At 43.6% G+C, this 26,161-nt stretch overlaps 1 protein-coding gene across 8 annotated transcripts in view; it reads left to right on the plus strand.

Moving 5' to 3' along the window:
* The window catches only part of FBXW8 (F-box and WD repeat domain containing 8), a 120,199-nt gene that overhangs the window by 28,019 nt on the left and 66,019 nt on the right, over positions 1 to 26,161 (plus strand). For 7 of the 8 annotated variants that reach the window (XR_001748654.1, XR_007063065.1, XM_024448937.2 and 4 more), the window contains 3 exons: positions 6,396 to 6,560; positions 10,650 to 10,738; positions 25,729 to 25,886. Coding sequence is in view for 6 of the 8 variants with exons in the window: in XM_024448937.2 (XP_024304705.2) it covers positions 6,396 to 6,560; positions 10,650 to 10,738; positions 25,729 to 25,886 (412 nt within the window). In the remaining 2 variants the exon portion in view is untranslated. Of the gene's footprint in view, positions 1 to 6,395; positions 6,561 to 10,649; positions 10,739 to 25,728; positions 25,887 to 26,161 lie in introns of those variants that run through there. The other variant, XM_047428699.1, reaches the window with a different exon arrangement.

Genomic DNA, 26,161 nt, shown 5'->3' on the forward strand with positions numbered 1-26,161 from the left:
GGTTGGGTGGGAAGTAGATGAGAACTGTGGGCCTGAGTGCCCAGTACATGGTTAGTGCCCAAAACATATCTTAACTGATTGACCGGTAACCCAAATCAGTGTTCTCTAAAGTGACTTCTGCAGAGCACTGGGCTTTTGAGATACTCGTTGCAAAAAGAAGTCAGGAACCAAATGAGTTTAGGAAATGCAGCTTCTTATACAGGTTGAACTTCCCAAATCCAAAAATCCCAAATCCCAAATGCTCCAAAATTAGAAACTTTTTCAGTGCTCATTGGAGCATTTTGGATTTTGGATTTGGGGATTTGGGAGACTCAGTCAGAATAATGCAAACGTCTGAAATCCAAAATACTCCTGGTTTTAAGCATTTTGGATAAGGGATACTCAACGTGTATCCCCTTCTTAGAGATGTGCAGCACATGCCACTGCTATTCAAAGCGCAAGTTCTGCAGCGAGGAATTCTGCTTCGTTTTGTTTAAAGCAGTGTTTCCTAAGCTCATTTGAGCGTGGAATCCTTTTCTAAGGAACTTATTAACACCTGGAGGTGTTGTTCTACTGAATATGCTTTTGGTCCATGTAATTAAAGAATGGCTACATTTATATGATCTCTTGATTACTCTTGAGTCTTTTTTGTTCGGTAGTTACATTTCATGACTTTTACAAAATGTTATGGTTTCTACAAAAAAGGCATATGTATGCCCAGGATCAGAGTAAAGCTGCCCTGTGTTTCCTGAGCACGTTCTGCCTTTGAGAACCTGTAAAGGTCTTTATATGTTACCTTTATCTTACACCTTATTTAACCCTGAATTCCAGGGCTCGGTTAGGGGACATACTCTGCTCTGGGACTACTCAGGTTGTGGCCTGGCTCACTCACAGCTGACATTGGTCTATCCCTATCTGTGCTTCATGATTGCCCAGTGCTCAGACACTCTGGCACAGACAGATAGACAGACAGCATCTGGGTGTCATGGGTAGGCTCAGCTGTGGACCAGACATGCCAAAAATAAAACCATGGTGTTCTGTCTAGTCAAACTGGAGCTCCAGCATTGCTGAGTCGTTATCCCGTTCTTTATTGCCTGACCACTTGTGATCAGATGAGAGCTTGTTTTCCTGAGCCCTTAAGGCTAAGATGGAGAAGTGTGGGATGACAGTGTGGTTAAGTGGATTTGTAACTGATGCTGTGGCCATGCCCAGGGTGGGCTGCTTAATGGATCCGTGTCAGCCTGGGGGGTGGGCTCCAGTGGTTTGCCACAGAGCTAGAGCCCTATCTTTAGCACCATCCTGGTTATCTTTTTTTTTTTTTAAATAATTAAGACACAAAGGCCCACAGACCATATTTTGCAGATGACTTATGGATGGGAGAAGTGGCTAATGCAATGGATGACAGAATTGGGATTCAGAGATTATCTGGGGGAGGCTAAAATGCTGGGGGGTGGGGCAGACGTTGAGGTGGGGATTAAAATCGATCAAAAGTTTACAAAGTTAAGAATTTAGGTATAAAAAATAGTGTGGTGGAAGGATGGTGGGCTTTTTTTTTTTTTCCTTCCAGTTTGTGTTTAAAAAAAAAAACCCTGAAGAATCATGAGGACCAAATTGGGGTTACTGTTGCGAGGAAGAGAATGTGAACGGTGAGAGATACTCAGGAGTTTTAAGCTGATTAGCAATCTTTTCTTTTGTCTGCAGGGTGGCGAGTTCACAGGTGTTTGTAATATTCTTTATACCTTTTCATTTCCCTTAAATATTTAATAAATTAAACAGACTGCAGGAGCTTTAGTGGACCATTAGTTGAGTAGCCATGTTGATGGCTACAAGTAAAGCAGAAAACCAGTGTCTGATAAGATCCTTCTGTGCATGGGACTGCACAGCCCATATTTGAGGTGTTATTGAGTCTTGAGTACCACATTTGAAGAGGGACACTTTAGATGTACAAATGTTTTAGGGTGCATTGAGAGAGTGTCAGAATGGAAACTATATGAAAAATAGTGGAAGGAAATGGATAATATTTAGAGCAATGAAGAAATGACTAAGGGGAAATATGATCGCTGTCTTCAGCTATTTGAGGGACTGTCAGGTGGAAGAGCAAATAGATTTCTTCAAAAGGGCAAAATCAGGGCCATAGGTAGAATGAGTTTTCTAGACAGTGGAAGGAAGCCCTTTCTAACATTCAGACTGCCTGTTGTTAGATCAGACTGATGGGGGAGGTCAGCTCTCCACTGGAAGCATTGCAGGATTGCCTGGGCCCCATTGGCCAGGGATGCAGTGGGGTGCCTTCTTGCAATGAGGAGATACACCTAGTTGATCTCCAAGGCCCCTCTTGATTCTTCAGGTTCTAAACCACTGGAGACTGAGACAGCGTGACACTCTCAGCATTAGAGTGTGACACTTAGATTCAGAAAAATGACAGCTTTGTCACTTATTTATGCCACGTGATCTAACTTCGGATGCTGTGAATTCCATGCGAAGTGTCCATGCCTGTAGGGAAAGTGACTGAGGTGATGTGACTGCTTATCACACATGGAGCTTGTGTGCACACATATATAGCAGAAGCATAATTAAGGAGGCCAAAACTTTAATGTGTCGTCAGTGTTAGGTTGGTCAGTATTGCTTTGATATGCTTTTGGTTGAATAAGGTATTGTAATGATTATTTTTGGTATAGTTTGCTTGAGATAGAAAGTCAGATTTTGACACCAAGATAAACTGAGTTCTTAGATTCCCACTAATTTTACTTTGTAACTTTTAGCCTCTTTCTGTGTGACTTATGTCTTTTTTATACCTCTGTCCCTTCATCACTGCCTTCTTTTGTGTTAAATAGATATTGTCTAGTATGCTATTTAAATTTCTTTACTCTGTTTTTTGAGTTATTTTCTTAGTTGTTGCCTAGGGATCACAGTGAACATCTTAGTTTAAAATAATCTAGTTTGGATTAATACCCACCTAATTCCAGTAGTGCACCAAAAACTCTGCTCTGAGATAACTTCATTTGGTGTATGTTGGTACACTTGGGTCATATCCCACAGGCCTCTGAGGCTCTGTTCATTTTATTCATTTTTTTGGTTTTGCTTTGTTGTTTTTGTTTTTTAGAGATGAGATTTCACTATGTCACCTAGTCTGGAGTGCAATGGTGCAATAATAGCTCACTGCAGCCTTGAACTACTGGACTGAAGCAATCCTCCTGCCTCAGTCTCACAAGTAGCTGGGACTACAGGCACACACCATCACATCTGGCTAATTTTTTTTTTTTTTGTAGAGATGGGGTCTCACTGTTCATCAGTGTGGCCTCAACTCATTGAGCAATCCTCCTGCCTCGGCCTCCAAAGGTGCTAGGATTACAGACTCTTTTTTTTCCTTTATTCTTTTTTTTCCCCCATAGAGTAGATAATCTCAATTGACTTGCTTTAAGTTTCCTGATTTTTTTTTTTTTTTTCCGAGACAGAGTCTTGCGCTGTTGCCCAGGCTGGAGTGCAATGGCGTGATCTTGGCTCACTGCCACCTCTGCCTCCTGGGTTCAAGTGATTCTCCTGCCTCAGCCTCCCGAGTAGCTGGGATTACAGGTGCACGCCACCATGTCCAGCTAGTTTTTTATATTTTTAGTCGAGATGGGGTTTCACCATGTTGGCCAGGCTGGTCTTGAACTTCTGACCTCGTGATCCACCTGCCTCAGCTTCCCAAAGTGCAGGGATTACAGGCGTGAGCCACTGCGCCTGGCCAAATTTGCTGATTTTTCTTCCAGCTCAAACTTGTTGTTGAGCGCCTTTAGGGAATTTTTTATTTCAGTTCCTGTACTTTTTAACTCCAGAGCTTCTATTTTTTTTTTTTTTTTTTTTTTTTTGAGACGGGGTCTCACTCTGTTGCCCAGGCCAGAGTGCAGTGGTGTGATCTCGGCTCACTGCAACCTCTGCCTCCCGGGTTCAAATGATTTTCCTGCATCAGCCTCCTGAGTAGCTGGGACTACAGGTGCGTGCCACCATGCCTGGATAATTTTTTGTATTTTTAGTAGAGATGGGGTTTCATCGTGTTAACCAGGATGGTCTGAATCTCCTGACCTGGTGATCTACCCACCTCAGCCTCCCTAGTTTTTTAACAGATAATTTCTATCTCTTTATCATTATCTTCTATATGGTAAGACATTGTTCTTCTACTTTCTTTTATTTCTTTAGACATGCTTTCTTTTAGTATTTTGAACATATTTGAAATAGCTGATTTAAAGTCTCTGTTTAGTAAGTCCAGCTTCTGGACTTTCTCAGGGTTAGCTTCTGTTGACTGCCTTTTCCCCTGTGTATGGGCCCTGCTTCCTTGTTTCTTTGCATGCTTTTGTAATTTTGTTAAAAACTGGACATTTTAAATAATGGAAACTCTGGAAATAGAATCTTTCTCCCTCTTCAGAATTTGCTGTTATTGCTATTGTTATTTTTGTTGTTGCTGCTGTTTGTTTAGTGACTTTTCTGGAATAATTCTCTAATTTGTATTATTTGTCATGTGCACCTCCTGAAGTCTCTGCTTGGCTAGCTTAGTGGTTAGCTAGTTATCAAATGGAGATTTCCTTAAATCCACTGAACCAGTAAGTCTCCCAGCCTTTGCTGAGGTGCTCTCTGTATATTGGGGTACTGCTTCACCATTCTAGCAGCTTACAGCTCTGCCTTAGCCTTCACTTCCTGCTTGTGCAGAGCCTCAGGGTCAGCCAGAGGGGAGAGGTTAGGGCCTTCTCTGGTCTTTCCTGGGCACACACATAGCCCTATACATTCACGTGGCATTCCAGACTCCCAGGAATATATTGGAGCCTTTCAGAGCCTCCTATGGACATCCCATTTCCAAGCTTTTTCTTTCAAGCTTTTTGGTCAGCCTCTAACAGCCCCAGCTAGCAGTGCCTCCTCAGGCAGCTGTAGAGTTAAGCAGTTGCCACTTACTATTTTGGGTAAATGCCCTGGAGATAGGACAGAGACAGTGCTCAGCCAGCTCAGATAAAGACAAGCCTTGAGAATAGAGCTTTCTGGCAAGCTGCCAGCCAGGTCAAATGGTGACAGTTCTCTGGGGATTTGATTTTTGGGGACCTCTAAACTTGTCTGGCCTCTCTAATGGCTGCTAGGCTGCCGGTTTTTACAGCTGCTATCTTCACGAGGTTGTTGATTTTTAAGGCAATCCTGGAGCTGGAAGAGGAAACAGAATTAGCACACATTAAAACAACTTAGACGTCACTGTTCTTACTGAGATTTAGCCACTTTTCTTGGATAAATGTTCCTCAGAATGTTGCAATCCTTTTGTTAATTTCCAGACTCCGAAAAAGTTGATCGATCATTTTTGGTGGAATTCTTACTGCTGTTATGGAGGAGCAGGTCTTTGGAGGTCTTTAATCTGCCATCCTGCAAACTAACTCTCTGTCAGTGCTTTATCAGCTGAGGCCCTTTGTGCAGTAAGAATCTGGTCTCCTACTTTCTCTCATTTTCCTTCTTTCCGTCTCTGTCTTTGAGTCTTGAAGTGGCCCTAAGGGAGTGTTAAAGAGTACAGGGTACTGTAACCTACCCGCTACCACTCTTCATTAGAAGTGAGACTCAACTTTTGGATGGATGGCAAGCATCAGGCACTTGATCCTGCATTCCCAGAATGCTGTGCAGACCGGGATCACGCTGATCTGCTCGATCAGTTTCTCATCTGCCAACAGAGTCCATCTTTTGCAGTCTGGCCAACTTTGCACATGATCCTGTGATTAAGTAAACCTTTTGTTCCCCTAAATTAGTGTTGGAAAACAAAATGCTAATAGTTAAAATGGCCATTTCCTCTGGATACTGTTGGGATTTGAAAGTCAGGCCAGACATAACATTAATTTTTCTAGATCTAATCTTACAGTCCTGGATAATGGCTTGAGTTTTCTGTTAATTAAATATATACATATGTTTAAAATCTAAATTCTCACATGCAATTTAAATTTGAATTTTTTACCTGACCAGATGTTTGGGTTATAGGTAATTTTATGACAGCCTTTGATTTTGGAGGCCATCAATCTTCAATTCTGTAAGGTGGAAATACAAATGCTTTTTGTCAAAAGTAAAGAGATTCCATTCTGAAAAGCTCTGTATGATTGTATAGCTAATTACCATGTAAAAGTTTATATTTTTTGCATTTTATGTATTTGTGTATTTTCTTCTCTTATTTGTTAGATTACAATATAACCAAGTAGTCTAAAATGTGATATTACATGGTGGTACAACAATTTTGAAATCTTGAAAGATAAAACTGGAAACATTTGCTTGTATTTTTTTTTCCACCTCATAGTGTTTTGTTAATGAGACATTTTATACTGCCATAAACCCAGGGCAATAATATAGGTGTTGATTGATTTTTGGATGACAAGGGGCTTCTCTAATTGCAGAATTTGACATTTGTGTCACTTCTGCTGTTTTAGGTGAGCAAGACGTGGAAGGTGATTGCAGAGGATGAGGTGCTGTGGTACAGGCTGTGCCAGCAGGAAGGGCACCTTCCGGATAGCAGCATCTCTGACTATTCTTGCTGGAAGCTCATCTTCCAAGAGTGCCGAGCCAAGGAACACATGTTACGAACCAACTGGAAGGTGGGCAGTGGCCAATATCATTACCTGTGAAAGAATAGCCTGCAAGGACATGGGAATCCAAGCTTTCACTCATAGCCTGAGATTAATTGCCAACAGCGAAGGGAGAGGGGTACACTGAGCCTCCCCTTCAGCTGTTGGTGACTTGTTGCCCATTTTGTTCACCATTAGATGATCTGCCTCTGTTTTCAGCCTCAAGATTTGGGAACATCCTCTTATTCTGCAGGAGAGGAAGGGTGAGATTGGGTTGCCAGCCACTTCCTCTCGGATTGTTAGGGTGGTCAGAGGAGTGCTCTGTGCAGCCCCTTTGACTTTCACCGACTCTCTGGAGGGACCCAGAAAGCAAAAGCACTACCTGCATACAAAAGAGGAGCTGAAAATGTCATTTCTAGTAAATGTAAGAGGGAGATGATTAAACATCTCTAAGCACTGTCTTCTCTTCCCTCACATAACCTATTGGCGTGCTTCCATAACATTTATCACTTCAAAGTCTCTACGGAAATATTAGATCACAGCTAAGAATTTGCACAGTGAAGTGTTTCCATAGGAGATAACTGTCAAGAGCCGTGTTACATAAAGCTGTTTGAGGCATGACGAGACAGCAGTGTGGTGGCAGTGTTTCTTTCTCACCTGGGAGGCTGGAGATTCAATGGTAGAGAAGGGATGGAACCATTCTCTTTACTCCCATAAAGGTCAATCCTAATAGACTTTGAGATTAACAAGCTTTTGTGCATTACTGATAATGACAAATTGCCTATGTGCCTGTCTGTCCCTACTCACCTCCTAACCTGATTAGTGACCAATACGCTTGATCTGGGCAACCTCACACGGTTTCTAGCAAAGTCAATAAGAGCAGTGTCTCTCTAGTTCAGGGGTTCTCAACCCCAGCACTAGTGACATTTGGGGCCAGCTAATTCGTTTTGTGCGGGGCTGTCCTGTGCATTGCAGGCTGTTGAGCAGTATCTCTGGCCTCTCCCCATTAGACGCCAGTAGCATTCTCTTCCTCCCCCAAGTCATGACAACTAGAAATGCCCCTAGACATTGCTGGATGTCCCCTGGGAATCAAAATCCCCTCCCAGTCGAGAACCACTGTTCTGAGAGTTAGTGTGGCTATCCTTTCTTAGGCTGTTAAGACACCACCACTAAGACAGGTCACGCTGGCCCCACAGTGCCCTTTTCCATCCACCTACGGTAATAAACTCGTCTGGAGGGAGCCCCCAGTCCCTCTTGCCCGTGTGCCTGGGTAGGTCCATGTGATGCACACAGGCAGAAAGGTATGACAAAGAAAGCTGCCCAGATAAACAAGGGGTCAGAAAGCAGAGGGTCTAACCCTGGTGGGAGGGGCTGCGATTTAAGGAAAGCTTGAGAGCTGAATGTTAACGGGGTCCTTTCTCTCCAGAAAGGAGAGATACTTTTGAGATTTACAAGCAGGAGAGTTGGAGATATTTGGCATCCCCAGGCTTGAATTCGAAGATGTCAGACCGTGGTAGAGAAAAGCAGCAGCTGTGTTTTTTGCTTCCTCTTTGGTGATAGAGAAAGCAAGGGAAGAGGACAGGTATGTCCTTGTTGGGCCTGGAGGTGGCAGAAGTGACGATATTTTAAAGACCCATCACCTAGCATTTGGCACTTAGTAACACTTTACAAGTTATATACAATCTAGCTGAATGTCTATTTAGTATTTATTTCTAATGAACAGGAAGTCATGTGTTAGGTAAGTACTCACTACATGGCTGTTGATTGAGTGAACTGGAGCGGACTGCAGGCTGAACCAAACATGAGGGAGACTTCTATTTGGAGCGTGTAAGGTCCATTTCCTGACAGTGTTAACAAGGAGAATTCTAGGAGTGAAATTTTAAATGATGTATCTTTCATTAAATGTAATGGTGGGATTCTTACCAAAATTCTGGAATGAAAGAAAGCCTTATCAAAACATGAAAGGCGGCCCGGCACCGTGGGTCACTCCTGTAATCCCAGCACTTTGGGAGGCTGAGGCGGATGGATCACTTGAGGTTAGGAGTTCCATGGCCAATATGGTGAAACCCCATCTCTACTAAAAATACGAAAATTAGCCGGGCGTGGTGGCACACACCTGTAGTCCCAGCTACTGGGAGGCTGAGATTGGAGAATCGCCTGAACCCTGGAGGTGGAGGTTGCAGTGAGCCAAGATTGCGCCATTGCACTCCAGCCTGGGCGACAGAGCGAGACTGTCTCAAAAAAAAAAAAAAAAAAGAAAAGAAAGAAAGAAATGAAAGGCAGTGTTGGGGCAAGTTGCTTTACTTTTGTCTGCCTCCATTTTCTCATCTCTAGAGTAGGGGCTAGGAGTGGCACTGCTCATGGCGTCATGGTGAGGATGATCGTCATCAAGTGTCTGCCACTCCTGCAGAGCCTGGTCCACGCTCAGTGCTCAGGCGAGGTTGGCTGTAGGAGAGCATAGGCCTCTGCACACAGATGCAGGGTTCTGTGCTGTGCGTGCTCGACTTCAGGATGGGTTAGGCAGGCGATTTGGTTTGGTACCTCTTAAGTCAGTGTCTGGGGAGACCCTAGAAGGGACCCCAGGGTTCTCAGGTACCTCCACAAAGAGAATGGCCTGCAAATGCATGAAGTTATCTGGAATTGCATTTCAGAGCCAACCTGGAAATGATTTGCTAAACTAATTGTGGTGGCCATAGTGTTTTTTTTCCTAGTGTTTGCATAAATGCAGGTTTTCATCTTAGGCCCTCTATTTTTCTTTCAATACTTTTTCCCTCACAAGAGATTTTCTGTTATTGTAACCTTGGTTGCGGCCTTCACACAGCTGACTCCCAGATCCTTGCCTTCCCTCCCCATATCTCCACTTGTAGGACAGCTCCACGTGGATGTGTCTAGTTTTATCTCTCAGCCTTAGACTCATTCCTTGGATTAAGTTAAGACCATCATGCAAATTACTTTGCTCAGTTTCTAGAGTCTAGGTACTTAATAAATGTGTATTTTAATGGAATGATGTCATCTTTTTCCTAATAATAGAAATAATAATAATAATGGCTACCACTTATTGAACACTTGCTGTATGTTAAGAACTGTGCTGGGCACTTACACTGTTTCTAGTCTTTGTCCCAGTCTGGTAAAGTTGAAATTATGGTATTCTTGAATACCTTTATTCATGCTTGCTTTGTGGCCTATCTCACTTTTCCCAACCTCCCACATGTAAATACTTTATGTGCATTCAGATTCCCTTCATTTTAATTCAATTTAATTTTTTATTTTTTTAGAGATAGGTTCTCACTCTCTTGCCCAGGCTGAAGTACAGTGTTGCAATCATAACTCACTGTAGCCTTAAGTTCCTGGACTCAAGTGATCCTCCTGCCTCATCCTCTCAAATAGTTGGGACTACAGGTGCATGCCACCACACCTGACTGTCTTTTAAATTTTTTGCAGAGATGGGGTCTCCCTGTGTTGCACAGGCTGGTCTCAAAACTTCTGAGCTCAAGTGATCTTCCTGCCTCTGCCTCCCAAAGTGCTGGGATTACAGGCATGAGCCACTGTGCCTGGCCTAGACTGTCATTCAAATACCATTTCCATGAAACCTCTGGCCTCTCAGTTAGAAATAGTATCATCTCATCTCCTTTTCCTCATCCTGATCTTTATCTATTTGTATATAATTTTGCATTTTATTCTGAGAGTCCTTATAAGAATTAACAGGTAAGGTATCATGTAATACTTTCTTTTTGCTGAACGGAACTTTTTCACATACTTTATAAGTTTCTTTAGATACTTGCCACTCCCAGCAGATACATGCCAGCCTATTGTGGATGGTAGTTATTGGTGAGCACATATTTGCTTTCTATTCTGTAACCTCCTGGAGGATGGGGCAATGTCTCACACGTCCTGTGTCCTCGAGTTCAGTGCCTTTGGGATATATGGTAACTCGCCCATGCTTAACAGCTTAGCATGTTAGTCATCATCTTTGTCTTTTTGAATGCCCATGGAACTTTGAATGCACTTGTTGTCCATGCTGTAGAGAATTGCTGTGGAAAGTAGGTGAAAAAGCACGATGCTTGGCTTTCGGGCTGTCCCGAGAGCAGTCTAAACTGCATCCCCCTTTTCCTCACGCAGAATCGCAAAGGTGCCGTGAGCGAGCTGGAGCATGTTCCTGACACAGTTTTGTGTGATGTGCATTCTCACGATGGTGTGGTCATTGCGGGGTAAGCCAAACCGTTTCCACTGAGTGCTCTGCATCTGAAGGTCTTTCATTTTTCTCATACCACCCTCTGAGTACCAGTGACCTTAGCTTCCTTTGAGAGCATGTACCTCCCTCAGTTACAGCCCATGTGGAAGAGGGAGAGTCTCCGTGATTCTGTTCCCAAGGACGTGAGAGCGCGCAGCAAGGGTGAGAAGCACATGGTGTAGAGCGGATCTGTGATCCATTTGTCTCAATATGTCTTTCCCAGCTTTTAAATCACTCTTGTGGCATGTTATGTGAGATTTTCATTAAGGCAAACAGTTTGTATTTTATGAAGACATAAAAAAGTCAAGCAAAGATAATAAGTGTTGGCACAGACAGGCCCTGTTCTCATTCTCTTTTTCTAAATCCCTTATTGTGAAGAAGGGCTTTGGCCACACATAATCTTCCTTCCCCACCATATAGTACCTATTTGTTACTTAAGTTGTCCTGACATTGTTTTTTTTTTTCTCCATGGCCAACACATTTAATTTTAGCTTCTGTAAATTCCTTCAGCTTCTGTCCCAAAAACCACTTTGATGAAGTCTTCCTACTTTGTTACAGAGGTACATTTATATATTTATTTACTCTACAATAAGATCAGTTTTCTTTTTGGATTAGGAAGATGTCATGAACTACAGCCTCAGACTGTATACTTAATGCCATAAAGTAGAAAGCAGAACACTTAAATTTCTTAGTTTGGATCAGCTATGGAGTGAGACGCCTTAGGGAACTTCCTGCCTATGGGAAAATAAAACAAACCTTGGACTTTAAAACTCAGTAGTAGAGGAGTCCTTTTCTTTAAAGAAAAATCTTTCTTTAAGCAGCATTCCTTAAAGAGCACCTTTTGAATAGAAATTCCACACAGTCGGATTATTTTAATATTTTGTGGCATGCAGTGCCTATGAAAAAAAGTATTTCTGCTTTAAACAAGATGTACCCAGGAGGCAGGCTTTTCTTCAGTTTCTGTTTCACTGGCTATGATTTAGAGGTGAAAGCCCTTCTTGGGAGTGCTGCAGAACTAGTTTTAGAAAGGTTGATGGTCCAGATACTTGCGATTCTGTCCATTAAGTTATCGATGCTCGTTGCTAAAATGTGGGCCTGCGATCAACTGATATGCAGCTCCTTTCTACCCACGGATGCTACAGTTTGGTGTGAACTCCGGAAGGTACTTAGATCATTCCAGCTTAAAGGGATCTCTGCCTAGAGTGTCAGAAGACACTTGAGGACAGAAGGCTGAGACTGGACTGAAAGAGTCGCAAAAGAACTTAAAAATAAAGGAGAGCCTTGACTCTCAAAGCCAATTATGAATTTCTTCTCTGGAGCTCCCGAAGGGCAGGCCCCCTACGAGTCCAGATGCCAGTCCTTCTCTCTCTGCCTCTCTGTTCCCTCGGGGTCTGTTCAACATTACAGATTATGCCAGCACAGAGCACGATGGCCACGTTCTGTGGATCGATAGGATGAAACTTGATCTGTGGGTCGAGAGGCTCCTGGTGGCTCCTCTTTCTAAGAAAACCTTACGTTGATGGCTTAGCATGAGAGACTTCAGTCTTGCTTGTATGTAGAGCATCTTGTGTTTATCATTAAAATTTTATCTGGTGGTTACGATGCTTGTTTTCTGGGTCAGATCTTGAATCCCTTTTCATTTGAGACAGCGGTGTTTGTGGTTACCTCATTCCCAATCAATGTTGAATTCACCAGGCTTTCTACAGTTATGTATCTCCAAGGAGCTTCTTAAAGAGACAGTGGCCAACTCACCCCTTCTTTCTCTTGTACTTACCTCGTGTTTCTCTTATTCTTCTTTTTTCCTTCCCTTTTCTCTTTCTTTTGCACAAGTGGAGTCTGTTCAGAGGCTTAGTTTTATGTACCTAGAGCTAAACTATGAAGCATTTTTGCATTTACACCTATTAAGTACATTTCACATCATTGATGGAGAGCAGAATCTCTTCTTCTCACCTTTTCAGCTCTCTATGTAAATATTCCTAGTTTGGGGCCATGCTGCATAGGCCCAGACTGATATTTATTGCAGTGAACCTCATGATGGACCCAGTCATGGTTCTTCCCTACTCTCCTTTTCACATAAAACCAGTGAAATCTGAAAATAGTCACTCGTTGATAAACGCATTTGACACTCAAATACCCATCATGTGAACAGGACCTGGTGCCTGTCTCCCTGAGGCTTGTTTTTCCAGTGGGGAAACATTCTTTCCAAAGCATTTGATTGTTCACTCTTTTGTCCGTGAGTCTTTGCTTACTCTACAGTCTTACAAATAATTTCTAGTTAACTTTTCCTGACATTCAAAGCTCTTTGACATTTCTTTCCAAGCTACCTTTTTCCTTATTACACTTTTCAAGTGTACCTTTGTTTTTTCCACACTGTTCTATTTAGTTACCTCTGACTGCATCATTTTTTTAGTTAAGATACAGTCATATGCTGCATAACAGCGTTTTAGTCAATGATGGGCCCCATATATGACATTGGCCATTCATGTACCCTAGGTGTATAGTAGGCTCTGCCACCTGGGTTTGTGTAAGAACACTCTGTGATGTTTGCACAAATGATAAATTCACCAAAGGATGCATTTTTCTGAGTGTAACCCTGTCGTTTAGTGACACGACTGTATAATTCATATGCCATAAAATTCACTCTTTCAAAGTGTACAATTCAGTGATTTTTTCTTAGTAGATTTACAAGGTTGTGCAACCAACACCACTATCTAATTCCAGAACATTTTCATCAACTGGAAACCCAGAACCCATTCTTTAAGGCCTACTCCAGTCCTGTCTCCTCCCAGAGATTTCTCTAGCACTGTAGCCTAGCGTCCATTCTTCTCGGAACTCCTAGAGACGGGACCATCTACAGCTGACAGGGCAACTCATCGTGTGGCCTTGCTGTTTCACTGAAACATTTTTTGTTTTATATTATTATTTTACTTAGAAATAATATTTAACTTTACAGCCATCTACTGTATTTTCTTTCCAGCAATTTGTAAGCATCTTTTTAAAATTTACATTTAAATTTTTATTGTTTTGAGACACAGTCTCACTCTGTCGCCCAGGCTGGAGTGCAGTGGTGTGATCTCAGCTCACTGCAACCTCCACCTCCCAGGTTCAAGCGATTCTCCTGCTTCAGCCTCCCGAGTAGCTGGGACTACGGGCGTGTGCCACCACACCCAGCTAATTTTTGTATTTTTAGTAGAGATGGGGTTTCACCATGTTGGCCAGGCTGGTCTCAAACCCCTGGCTTCAAGAAATCAGCCCACCTCAGCCTCCCAAAGTGCTGGGATTACAGGCGTGAGCCACTGCACCCGGCCTGTAAGCATCTTTTAAAACCATGAGTGGTATGTAATATTTTGTTAAATGTATACTGTTTTATATGGAGTAAGCATTAAAACTTAATACACAGACTCCCCTTGTCCCCTGCCACCTATATATGATGTTATATGGGAAACTAGAGAAATGCCTATGTCTGTTCTCTACTTTCTTAGTTTTCTCAGTTTAGAATCATACATTTTTAAACCTGGAAGGAACTTTAGAGATGATGCGTTCCAAGACCCTCATCTTGCTTGAGGTGGCAGAGGCTCAGGGCCAGGCTGGGTGTGCGTGAGTGGAGCCGCTCCGCTGTGTTTCTGCAGCATCCACAGGCAGGGCTGGCTGGTGAGGCTGCCGTTTCCAGCCCTCATTTGCTGCTCTGAAGCTTTGGCTATTATAGCATCATTTTGGTTTTTCTTTTGTGGCATGTGTCTATTTAAAAACAAAAGCAGCCGGCTGGGCGCGGTGGCTCACGCCTGTAATCCCAGCACTTTGGGAGGCCGAGGCGGGCGGATCACAAGGTCAGGAGATCGAGACCATCCTGGCTAACACGGTGAAACCCTGTCTCCACTAAAAAATACAAAAAAATTATCCGGGCATGGTGGCGAGTGCCTGTAGTCCCAGCTACTCAGGAGGCTGAGGCAGGAGAATGGCGTGAACCCAGGAGGTGGAGCTTGCAGTGAGCCAAGATCGCGCCACTGCACTCCAGCCTGGGCGACAGAGCAAGACTCCATCTCAAAAAAAAAAGACAAAAAAACAAAACAAAACAAACAAACAAAAAACAAGAAAAACAAAACCAGCCGGGCATGGTGGCTCACGCCTGTAATCCCAGCACTTTGGGAGGCCTAGGCGGGCAGATCATGAGGTCAGGAGTTCAAGACCAGCCTGGCCAACATGGTGAAACCCCATCTCTACTAAAAATACAAAAATTAGCTGGGCGTGGTGGCGGGCACCTGTAATCCTAGCTACTTGGGAGGCTGAGGCAGGAGAATTATTTGAACCTGGGAGGCAGAGGTTGCAGTGAGCTGAGATCGCACCATTGCATTCCAGCCTGGGCGACAGGGCGACTCTGTCTCAAAAAAAAAAAAAAAAAAAAAAAGAAAAAGCAGTGGTAAAAACCATGTTGTTTTGCAACCGTGTTAGAAAGTAGAGAAGAGAAAGCCACTCAAATTCTAGCATGGAACACAACCTTTATTAAGGTCTCCCATGTGTCTGGTTTGGTTTTCAGTCTGTTTTTCTATGCATGTTTTTTCATAGTGTGACTGTAGCCTTTGTTAGATTTGTGGCCTTTTCCCTCACCAAACTGATGAATTTTTTTCATGTTGCATATTTTTCATTACTTTCTTTGACTTGTTGCAAAAACACTTTGGATAATTATACCCCAATTTCCCTATTTATTCCCCTAATAGTGGACATTAAGGTCATTTCCTGTGTTTTGTTATATGTATGTTATGAATATTTTATGTATAGATGTCTGCAAATTTTTCTCCTTTTTAGCATTACAAATCTTTATTTTAAAATGATTAGACACATGCTACTGTAGAAACTTGAAATTCTATATAAGTATATAAAATAAAGAGTTAAAGTTCTCTCATTATCGTCTCCTAGTCTTGCAATCCTGATTGTTTTCCTAGGCTAGAGTCCTGTAAGCAGAATTACTGGATTTAGGGGAATGAATTTTTATTTTCCAGATTAATAAATTATTTAAAAGTGCTTTTGTAGCCCTCAGCTTCTTTGCAATCTAACCTTTTGACTTGAAGTCTCCAAACCATCCCTGCCATCTTCCTGTTAGTGCTGTACATAGTGAGAGCCCGTGCCTCCTGCCCCTCTTCCTTCCTCCCCGTCTAACCTCCCTCCAGCTGGCTCCATCCCAGCCCCACTGTGCTGCACTCTCAGAGGTCACCCGTGATCTTTTGGTCAACAAACCAATAGCCTTTTCTTGGCTCGTCCTCTCCAGCCTCTTGGCAACATTTGGTGCTGTTGACTTTCCCCTCTTGAAATGGGGGGGGGGGGCCCTGTATTAAGCATCTGTATGCCCTCAGAGTCTAACATCTTTCCCAGGACCCAGGAAACTTTGAGCCAAGTGTGTAAGAAAGGAAAACTCCCCTTCGGCGATTCCACACTCTCTGGACTTCCATTACCTCCGTGAGCGCCTTCTCTGGCCCTCGTTCTTGTCTTTCTCTGCTGTCACTTGACCACTTAGCAAGGATATGCAGCAGCGCAGAAAAGACCTGCACCAGTTGTTTTCTTTGTTGGAGAGATAAGTGGACGTGCCTTCAACTGCGACTGAGACATTCAGACACAACTTTTACTTTGCTTTTTCAGCGAAAATTTCTCATTTCTGTAACTTGAGAAAAATTTATGTTCATAAGTCACCAGTCTCTACAGAATCAGTCACCTGTCTTTCTCTCAAAGTTCAGCGCCTGTCTGCATTTGTATCTGTGATCTGCTGGACCTCCTGAAATGCTAGCGAGGTTTAGTGTGTGTTTTCCTTGTGTTTTAGCACAGAGTTTGTCTAGAAAGTTAGTTGATAGTAAGTGCTCAGGAAACATGTCTTTTGTTTGTTTCTTTGATTTATTGTGGTAACAGCTCTTAGAATTTTAGAATGTTTTGAAAATTGTATGTTTATCCTTGAGGAGAAAGAGTAGAAGAAAGGGGCATATGGAAACATCCCTGTTCTGTTTTGTGATGCTTAGACTGTTCTCGTCTTCCTTCTCCCCAGTTGCCCTCTGGAAGTTAAGTGTTGCAATCAGATGACATCATGAGTTCAAAAAAGACAGTATAAAACCTGAGGTGCAGGGCTAGGTGTCGTTTGCCATAAGTAGTGAAGGAGAGCCACCTAGTGAAGAGTGCATCTCAGGTAGAACCAGTAGCTCCTTGGAGGCCTTGTGCCAGCTCTGCTAACCATTAAGCCATTAGCTCACCAGAAGCTTTTATCAGATGCCCAGGAGTATGATGGTGTTTTGCAATAAACTCTCTCCTCATTGTTACTTGAGATTCATAAGGCTAAAGCATTCTAGTTGGCATAAGAAAACACACTTTTCTATTCATATGAGAGGACATTTTCTCTCTTTTGGTTTTAAAAAAAACACCAAGCAACCTGTTTGTGTTGAGGTTTTTTTCATTACTCCTAAATATTTTCTCCCCTGGTTTCCGCCTTTTTAGCATACCGTTCCTGCCTTTGCTGGAAGGAGCAGGGCTGTGTATCCATGCTTCTCTTCTGCCTAGTGTGGTTGGAAGGAGAACTGTATCATTTGCTGCAAACCATTAGCGCTCTTCTTACCCTAAAAACACTCAGTTGTCCCATTTTTGCTTCATTCCTTTTGAGGCAAGTGTGCCCAAGTAGATACAAAACAAAACTGCCCATACCTCTCTAGCAACCAAGTGATCTCTGGCTGCTGCTTCAGCTGCCAGACATGGCCTGATTCAAATATGTTTTTATTTTTCTGAGCCCCATTCATACACCCTGGCGTCAGAGTGAGAGGGTTTGCAGTTCTTTGTAGACAGAGAGCAAAATTTGGAGCTTCAAATTTATATATGTAAAAATTGGTGTCTGAATCTTTGGTTGGTTCAGTTTGCCTGTTGGCCCTTCAGTGGAATTTTATCATTGTTTTACAATTAAGAAGTATTGGAAAATATAATTTTAAACAGGGCAGGCACAGTGGCTCATGCCTGTACTCCCAGCACTTTGGGAGGCCAAGGTGGGTGGATCACTTAGGGTCAGGAGTTTGAGACCAGCCTGGCTAACATGGTGAAACCCTGTCTCTACTAAAAATAGAAAAATTAGCTGGGCATGGTGACACGTGCCTGTAATCCCAACTACTCGGGAGGCTGAGGCAGAAGAATCGCTAGAACCCAGGAGGTGGAGGTTGCAGTGAGCCGAGGTCATGCCACTGCTCCCCAGCCTGGGCAACAGAGTGAGACTCCATCTCCAAAAAATAAACAAAGTCATCTAAGGTAACTTGAAATACCTTGCTTTTAGCTATGTTGTCCTCTGCTTTTTCCAGTAATTACAAATGTACCTTGTTATTAGCCGGGCACAGTGGCATGCCTGTAATCCTAGCACTTTGGGAAGTCAAGGCAGGTGGGTCACTTGAGGTCAGGAGTTTGAGACCAGCCTGGCCAACATGGCAAAACCCCTTCTCTACCAAAAATACAAAAATTAGCCAGGCATGGTGGTGCACACCTGTAATCTCAGCTACTCGGGTGGCTGAGGCACAAGGATCACTTGAACCCGGGAGGTAGAGGTTGCAGTGAGCCAGGATCATGCCACTGCACTCCAGCTTGGTGACAGCGAGACTGTCTCAAAAAAAATTTTTTTTTAAAAAAGGACCTTTTTATCGACTGTATACCATGCCAAAATATGAATAGTAGCTTTAATGTGAATACGTATATATTTGCCCTGAATTTAAAAATATTTTCTGTTCGGGAACTGAAGCCCTCAAGGATCGTGTTTCCAACACTCGCTTAGTTTTATATGTATGTGTGAAAAATAAATACTGCCTATGGATTACTTTGAGACTGTTGAGATAACAGATGCTTTGTAAATAACATAGGTATAAGGTTGTGTGAGATAAATGTTGCCCATATATACTTACTAAGGACATGCGTTCCATTTTTCTCCTTTTTTAAAAAAACTTTTTCCCCTAACAGTTTTCCTTTAAACCTTGTTTTGTATAGATTTTCTGCTGCTAGTTATTGTGACATTGGACTGTTTCCCATAAGGAACTCGATCATTACCCGTTAGGGACCTCTTTTTAAAAATACTTTTAAATTTATTTATTTTCTGCTGTGAGGTATACATGCTCTTCTGGTAAATAAGTCTGAGGTAAGATATTGATAAGTGACTAGAGGAGAGCATTACATTTATTATATCTTTAATGAAGGAGCTCCAGAATATCCTTGATAAATACTGGTGAACTCATGACTGCATTTATCCATCTCTGGTTCTCCGAGGAATAATGGGAAGGGCCACAGCTACAATAACTCTGCATAATCATCATTGACTCTGACTCTATTGATTGTGATTAACCAAGATGTATGGAAAACAGTTTTAAGTGTGTAGTGCATGTATCTCATAAGGTCCATTAAGACGTTCATTATTTTTCAATTGATGCGTCTTAAGCCCCACTTGATGTTTGTTGTAGTGCATTTCCACAGAAGGATTCTGCACTGTGGGATTGAGTTCATTTTGTTAATTGCATAATACAACCCCATCGTGTTTCATAGAAAATAGTAAATACTCTTGCTTTTATTGATTGGTATTCTTTGATATTACTGAAGAAATACCAAAGAAGCAAAGGAGCAAAGAAATACCAAAGAAGCAAAGGAGCAAGTGAATAGTTCTTCAAACTTTTACATATTAAGGGCACGAATGTTTCTTGAAATGTGGACACTGCAGTTTTAGGAGCCTCTGCCTGATTGCTCAGTAGGCTTTAAACCACTTCCATCTTCTGGGTTTAAGTCAGTAGATTCATTCATTCCGTCAACACCCACTAAGCATGGATGAATACCACACACAACCCCCCTGGTCATGGCGAGTTTATAGGCTGCCAAGGGATCCAGTTACTGGTGTTTACAGAACACTCTGGGAGGTGTTAGGGTTGGGGAGGAGCACGGTGCCATAACATGCTAGGGAGAGGCACCTCATACAGGCTCAGCATCAGGCTAGCTTCCTGCTGGGAAATGACTTTCAACCTGAATCCAGAAGGATGACTAGGACTTGGCCAGGTGGAGTTTTATATGGGGCAGAGATGCTGCCCTCCTCACTCCCCAACCAGTAGTGATCATGAATAACTCATTACTGCATTTGTTTTTCTGGTAAGCTGGATGAAACACAGCTTCAGAATCCTTCTCAACACAGAGCTCTAGGCAACCACTACCATGTACTGGATTTGACACACAAACGAAACCATTTGCTGTTCCTGGCCTGAAGCCTCATAACAGGGCCCCTCTTGGCTGCTCTGGGTGCCTGATCAGAACAGAACTGTGACTTGGTTTGGGAGTGGCTGTTTGTGTATGATCCTGTAGAGAAAGAAGTCTTGCTAACGGTTCCATATGTTCTCCTGCATCCCCTGAGAAGCAGGCATGGGAGGCAACAGGTTGCATCTGCTCAGCTCCCAGTCCTGCTCCCAGCATACTGAGCCTTTTTTGTTGGCTTCTCGCCTTCCAGTTGCAATTTAGTGGTCGAATTGATGGGTTAGGGTCAGGGGCTGTGTCCTGCAAACCTGAGTCATAATATTGAAAACAATAAATTCCTTATATTGCACTTAAATGGGGGTGGTTCTTAAAAGCAGTATTTGTTTAAAGACAGTGTCATCTGAGGAGGCAGAGTGGCTTGTTGGCTAAGCAGTGATTGAGAAAAACCTGGGGCACATTTTGATCCCAGCTGTGCCACTAAAATGTTTCTTGTGACCCTGGGTAAGTCACTTAACCTTACTTCTCAGCATTCTTAAATCAAAACAACCCCCCAGCTTGCTAGGAAGGGCCTTAAAAAATTTTGTTTTTAGCAAATAAGAGCTGACACCTGGAAGCAAAATGGAAACGCTGCTGGATACTTATGAAGAAGAAAGGTTGTTTTTAGCTGTACAGTATTTATTCCTTCTTATTCTTCTAGTCCCTTAGTCCAATAAGTAGTCTGCTTATTGGAAACTTACTAGTTAATGAAAGCTCTTTGGTGGTAAATCATTTTAAATTGTCAATCCCTCTGTCGTGCAGAGCTTGAGAGAGGCTCTATTCCCATTCTTTCAACAAAAAATCAGCTATGGTCTCTGACCTATTTATTTAGAGGTAAACTCAACCTTGCCAAGTGTAGAAAAGACTGGGAAAGCACACAGCTTCACTGGGCTGGGGCATATCCTCATTTGGAAAAGACTTCTTTCTTCTTCAGTTTTTCCTTAGTGTTCTTACATCAGCTAGTATATTAGTTGCAGTTGTACTTTGCACAGACGCTAATTAGAGAGCCATCAACATTGGGTTCCAAAGGCTTACTGACAATGTAACTGTCATAGTGGCATCTTAATTGGTTGAGTGTAATTGTCATTAGGCAGCGATAAAGACATCTGGAGCTCTGGAGAAAAATCAGCCTTTTTTCCTACCTCCATTCGTTATCTGTTCTTGCTGCTCCTGGCCAATGTTGTTAAGCACTTTTAGATCACATTTAGGGTTTGGTCCAGGTCCCTCTGCCCCAACCTGTGTTTTACCCTACCAAAGATGTCTGTTTCCTTAGCACAAGTTCATGAGCATGGAGGCTGCCTCCCATGCTATTGTGGCTTTCACTTAGGTTAGATTTGAGAGCCCGCTGCTGAGTCATAATGCAGTACCTGCTGCAGTAGCATATTTAGTCTCAGTTCCTGTCAATACAGGAGACGTAGAGGCTTTTATATTTTACCTCCTGAGTCATTTTGCAGCAAAACATTTATGTTATTATCATACCTTTTGGTCATGGAGAATGAAGTTAATTTAAATAGATATATGGAAAATTTCATGTTTATTGAAATAATTTAGCTTATCCCCTGTTTTATAGTTTTTATTCAGTTTGGAAATAAGTGGAAGCAGTCTAATGCACATCAGTGTGTACATTCTGGGTGTTTCACTCATCATTACCATTGGAAAGTGGGCAGTGGAAATAAAGAGGTACCCCTCAAGCCAGTCAGGTTGTTACCTGCGGACACCCCCTTTCAGTCACTATTTATGATGAGCTCTGCATAAGGCACTGTGATGGAGGCTATGGCACTGCGGTAGGGCCTTCTTGAAGACTTTACAGTCAAGTTGAGGAGACGATCAATGCATAAGGACTGTATTAGTAAAAGCAGTTTCTTCAGATAAAGGGCATAGTAGTTGAGTCAGAAAGCTTCAGGCTTCAAGGAGGGGAGGGGAGGGCCTGTGTTAGACCTTGAGGGGTTGGTAGGATTGGGCTGGGTTGGTGATTCTCAATCTTGGCTGTATATTGAAAACATTGATGCCTGGTTCTATCCCCAAATGGTCAGATTTATTTGGTCTGGGAGGCTGGAATGCAGTGGCACAATCTCGGCTCACTGCAACCTCCACCTCCCAGTTCAAGCGATTCTTCTGCCTCAGCCTCCCAAGTAGGTGGGATTACAGGCACGCACCACCACACCTGGCTAATTTTTGCATTTTTAGTAGAGACGAGGTTTCACCCTGTTGGCCAGGCTGGTCTCAACCTCCTGACCTCAGGTGATCTGCCCCTGCCCTCAGCCTCCCAAAGTGCTGGGATTACAGGCATGAGCCACCGTGCCCGGCCTGTATCTGCACTTTTTAAAGCATTCCAGGCAAATTTAATGTGCAGCCCAGGCTGGACCCCACTGGGCTGGGAGGTGAGGAGGTGAGGTACTGCAGCAAGGTGGGGCAGAGAATCAGAGTTCAGAGGCAAGAGCATTTGGGATCCTCTCTGGAAGCCGGCCCGTGTGAAGGGAGAGTAGAAAATGAGGCTGGGGAGAGGGGTGGAAGTTAGTTTGTGGTGGGTTTTCAGTAGGTCTCATAATTAAAATTTCATTCAATAAGGTGTTAAGATGTAAGACTTTATAGAGGGTTCTCTGGGTATATGGCAAGCGCTGTTCTAGTCTGTCTGTTCCAGTCATTGCATGCACAGCTATGAACAAAACCCAGACCCTGAGCTCAGAAGCTTCAGGCTGGTAGGGAGATGAACAGTGAGATGATCACAGACATGCACCACTGCCATGACGGAGACGTCCAGGCTGCCGTGAAGGTAGATCGTAGTGCGGTGTAGTGTGGCATGTGAGGGAGAAAGGAAGTAAAGGAAATGGTTCCAGAAGAAAGATTCATGCAGTCAGGTGTTTTGAAGGGCTTGGCTTGTGGGGGGAGGATTGAATGGAAGAAGCTCCGAATCAGGGAGCCTGTAGTAGTCGGGTGTGAATGTGAGGTGTTGGGGGATTTGGACCAGGGTGGCTTCTCTGGGAATGAGCAGAACAGAACAAGCTTGGCACCTGAGCATCTATAGTGGTGCGGGTAGTGGGCCACAGCGGTGTTGAAGGGGCCCCTCTCCTTCTGTACCAGTGACCTGGGACTGATGATCCCATTGATAAAAATAAGGAATTCAGACACAGGCTAGCTTGGCCATGAGCTGAAGCATTTGATTTTAGACGTGTGGAGTCACAGTGTGAGTGGACCAACCTCCTCTGTGGGAGAAAGGCTTGCCCAGGAGCCCCTCAGATATGAATAGAGTGCTGTTATCTGTGGGGTTCCTGCCCTCACTCTCTTCTCTTTCTCTGAGTAAGGAGCGGGCTCAACAGTTTCTGTTTCACAGCTCACTATTGTCTGGTTCAGCAGCTAAAGTACCTTTTTCCCAAGCTTTGTTGTTTTGCTGTCATTTTGGCTCCGAACTCTTTGTGTTCAGGGAGCTGGGGGGCTGGAGCTGAGGCCACCTAAACCGTCTTTCCTCTCCACCCTCGCCTCCCCACTGTGTCCCCTGGGGGGGCACCACTGAAAACAGTGTGCAGACTGCTGGTGTGGTGTGACACATGGTTAGCAGGAAGCAGAAGGACAGAGACTGGCAAGAAGGAAATACAGTTTCCTAGTTTATGTACTTCTTTTTCTGAACGTGCCTTACTTTTCTGATCTGAATTCCCTTTATCTTTCTTTCACTTACCATCTGTGTATTTCTGAAAGACGTTGCCATCCTTCTCATCTTTCCTGAATTGGCTGGTTCCTGTCACATAGAATTTAACCTTAAGAATCTAGTCCCCCAGTCTAGACATTCAAACATGTCTCATCTGTTGTGTCTCTGTAGCTAAGCAAGTGGCCTTACTCCAGCAAATGGCCTGAGTCGTTCTCAGGGTGTCACACTGAGCCCGGTATTTTGAGGGCAGTGAGCTCCAGGGTATGTGTTCTGGTATAGGGTTCCTCATTGAGAAGGGTGAGCTGACCGCTGCTTGGAGAGCCTGGGGGCCAGTGGCCGTGCTTTGGCTGGGGTGATCTCAGGATCTGCCCTTGCTTGCACGTCGCTGGGCTTAAGGACATTCATCTTGTGTTTCTGTTTACTGGAGGATCAGTGGTCAACCCAGAGGTACAGCAGGCCAGGTTCAGAAAGCACGTCTCTCCCGTTTGGCTCTTTATCCCACATGCGCACTCTCTGGGTGCCACCCTGCAGGTAGAGAGCCAAGTTCTCCAACCAAGGAATTGGGGTGACAGAATGGCCTTTGGACTGTGCAATATATGTATTTACTGTAGATTAAGAATTTGGGTGCAGTACTACTAGTAAACAAAGCACTCCTGAATCAGAGTACTTCTCTATAAGAAATTCCACCTGAGGCCAGCTGTGGTGGCTCACACCTGTAATCCCAACACTTTTGGAGGCCGACGTGGGTGGATCACTTGAGGCCAGGAGTTCAAGACCAGCTGGGGGAAAACCCCATCTCTACTAAAAACTAAAAAAACAAACTAGCCGGACATGGTGGTGCACGCCTATAATCCCAGCTACTTGGGAGGCTGAGGCAGAAGAATTGCTTGAACCTGGGAGACGGAGGTTGCAGTGAGCCGAAATTGTGCCACTGAACTCTAGCCTGGGCAACAGAGTGAGACCCTGTCTCAAAAACAAACAAAAGAAAACAAAAACCAAGAAATTCCAGATTGGTCTTCTATAGCTACTTCACTAATGTGTCACATCATAGATTTCAGTGACTCAGTGAATCTCAGAGGTTATCTCATCAACTCGGCAAAGAAACCCTGCAGGAACTATGGCTAGGGCCTCAGGAAGACTATGAACCCCCTTAAAATCATTGGCCTATCTTTGTGATTGTGTGGTTCTATCATGAGGCCCTTAAAGGCATTTCTCACCACTTTTCCCCCCATAACACTCAGTTGCTGTACAAGTGGAGTAAAACCCTCTGCAGCAGACATAAGCAACATAGCTTAAATACCTTGGTGATGGGCAGCACCCCACTTTATCATCTGGCCATTCTGTCATCCTGGGGGCCTCAAGTCTGAGTAGGTTCGGCCTGGCCTGGCTTTGATGGAAGCAGTCATTTGTTGGAGTGGCACTAGTCATAGGAGAGAGTGAGTACTTCTATTTTCTAAGTGGGCAAAACCGGGCAGTGTCGCGCATTCAGCAAGAGCTTTTCATGAGCAGGCAGCACTGTCTGGCTGCTAAAGGCAAGATTTAATTGTTTCAGCAAATCAATTAGTCTTCAGGGACTTTAATCAGTCAAATCTGATGCATGGATGAGGTATTAGAAAGCCTGTGCCTGTGAGACCATTAGTTCTGAGTATCCCTGCAGCATCTCTCTCTGTCTTTCCTGTGAGTGAGTGTGTGCGTTTGTGGGTAAATAGTGGGGCTTATACAAATTTCTGCAAGTGATCCCTGTAGTGGGAGAGCTTGCAGGAGCAGATTGTTGTAATAGTGTAAAAGGAAAAGCAAGGAGATCTTGCTACCCATGTCTTATTATTGTTTTCTCATTTGAAATTGTCACCATTGTGCTGTGAGAATGTGAAGCGTGTTCACAGCCTTCTGTCATCTAGTTGACATTTTCTCCTGTTGGAGTCACTCATCTAAACAGTGCCTCAGCAGTGGCTCTACACCACCCGATTCTTACTTGTCTGTTGTTGTAAGGCTCTGTGCATTTTCCCCACCATAGCCCTGCTCTTCAATCTCCTTTTGGAACCAAGTGTGTCGTTCTCTTCCAGATATACATCAGGGGATGTGAGAGTGTGGGACACCCGCACCTGGGACTACGTAGCCCCCTTCCTGGAATCAGAGGACGAGGAGGATGAGCCTGGAATGCAGCCAAATGTCTCCTTTGTGAGGATAAACAGCTCGTTGGCAGTAGCAGCTTATGAGGATGGTAAGTAACCACAACCCTCCTCCCTATTAAGGAAAAAAAAAAGCTTTACAAAAATTAAGCAGCTGTGGCCGGCTCCCCCCTGTAATCCCTCCATATGTACACGTGGGCACACACACATGTTCACACACATACACTCACTCTTGCTTTTATTTGAAGAAGTTGGCCAACAACCGTCAATGCATTAGTAGGCATTGGAACACAGCACCCATTAAAACTGGTGTTTAATTCCTACTGGAACTGTCAGGCTGGGCGCTAGTGCCAGACACAAGGCTGGC

This window comes from Homo sapiens, chromosome 12 (genome assembly GCF_000001405.40).
Source record: "Homo sapiens chromosome 12, GRCh38.p14 Primary Assembly".
Taxonomy (NCBI): Eukaryota; Metazoa; Chordata; class Mammalia; order Primates; family Hominidae; genus Homo; species Homo sapiens.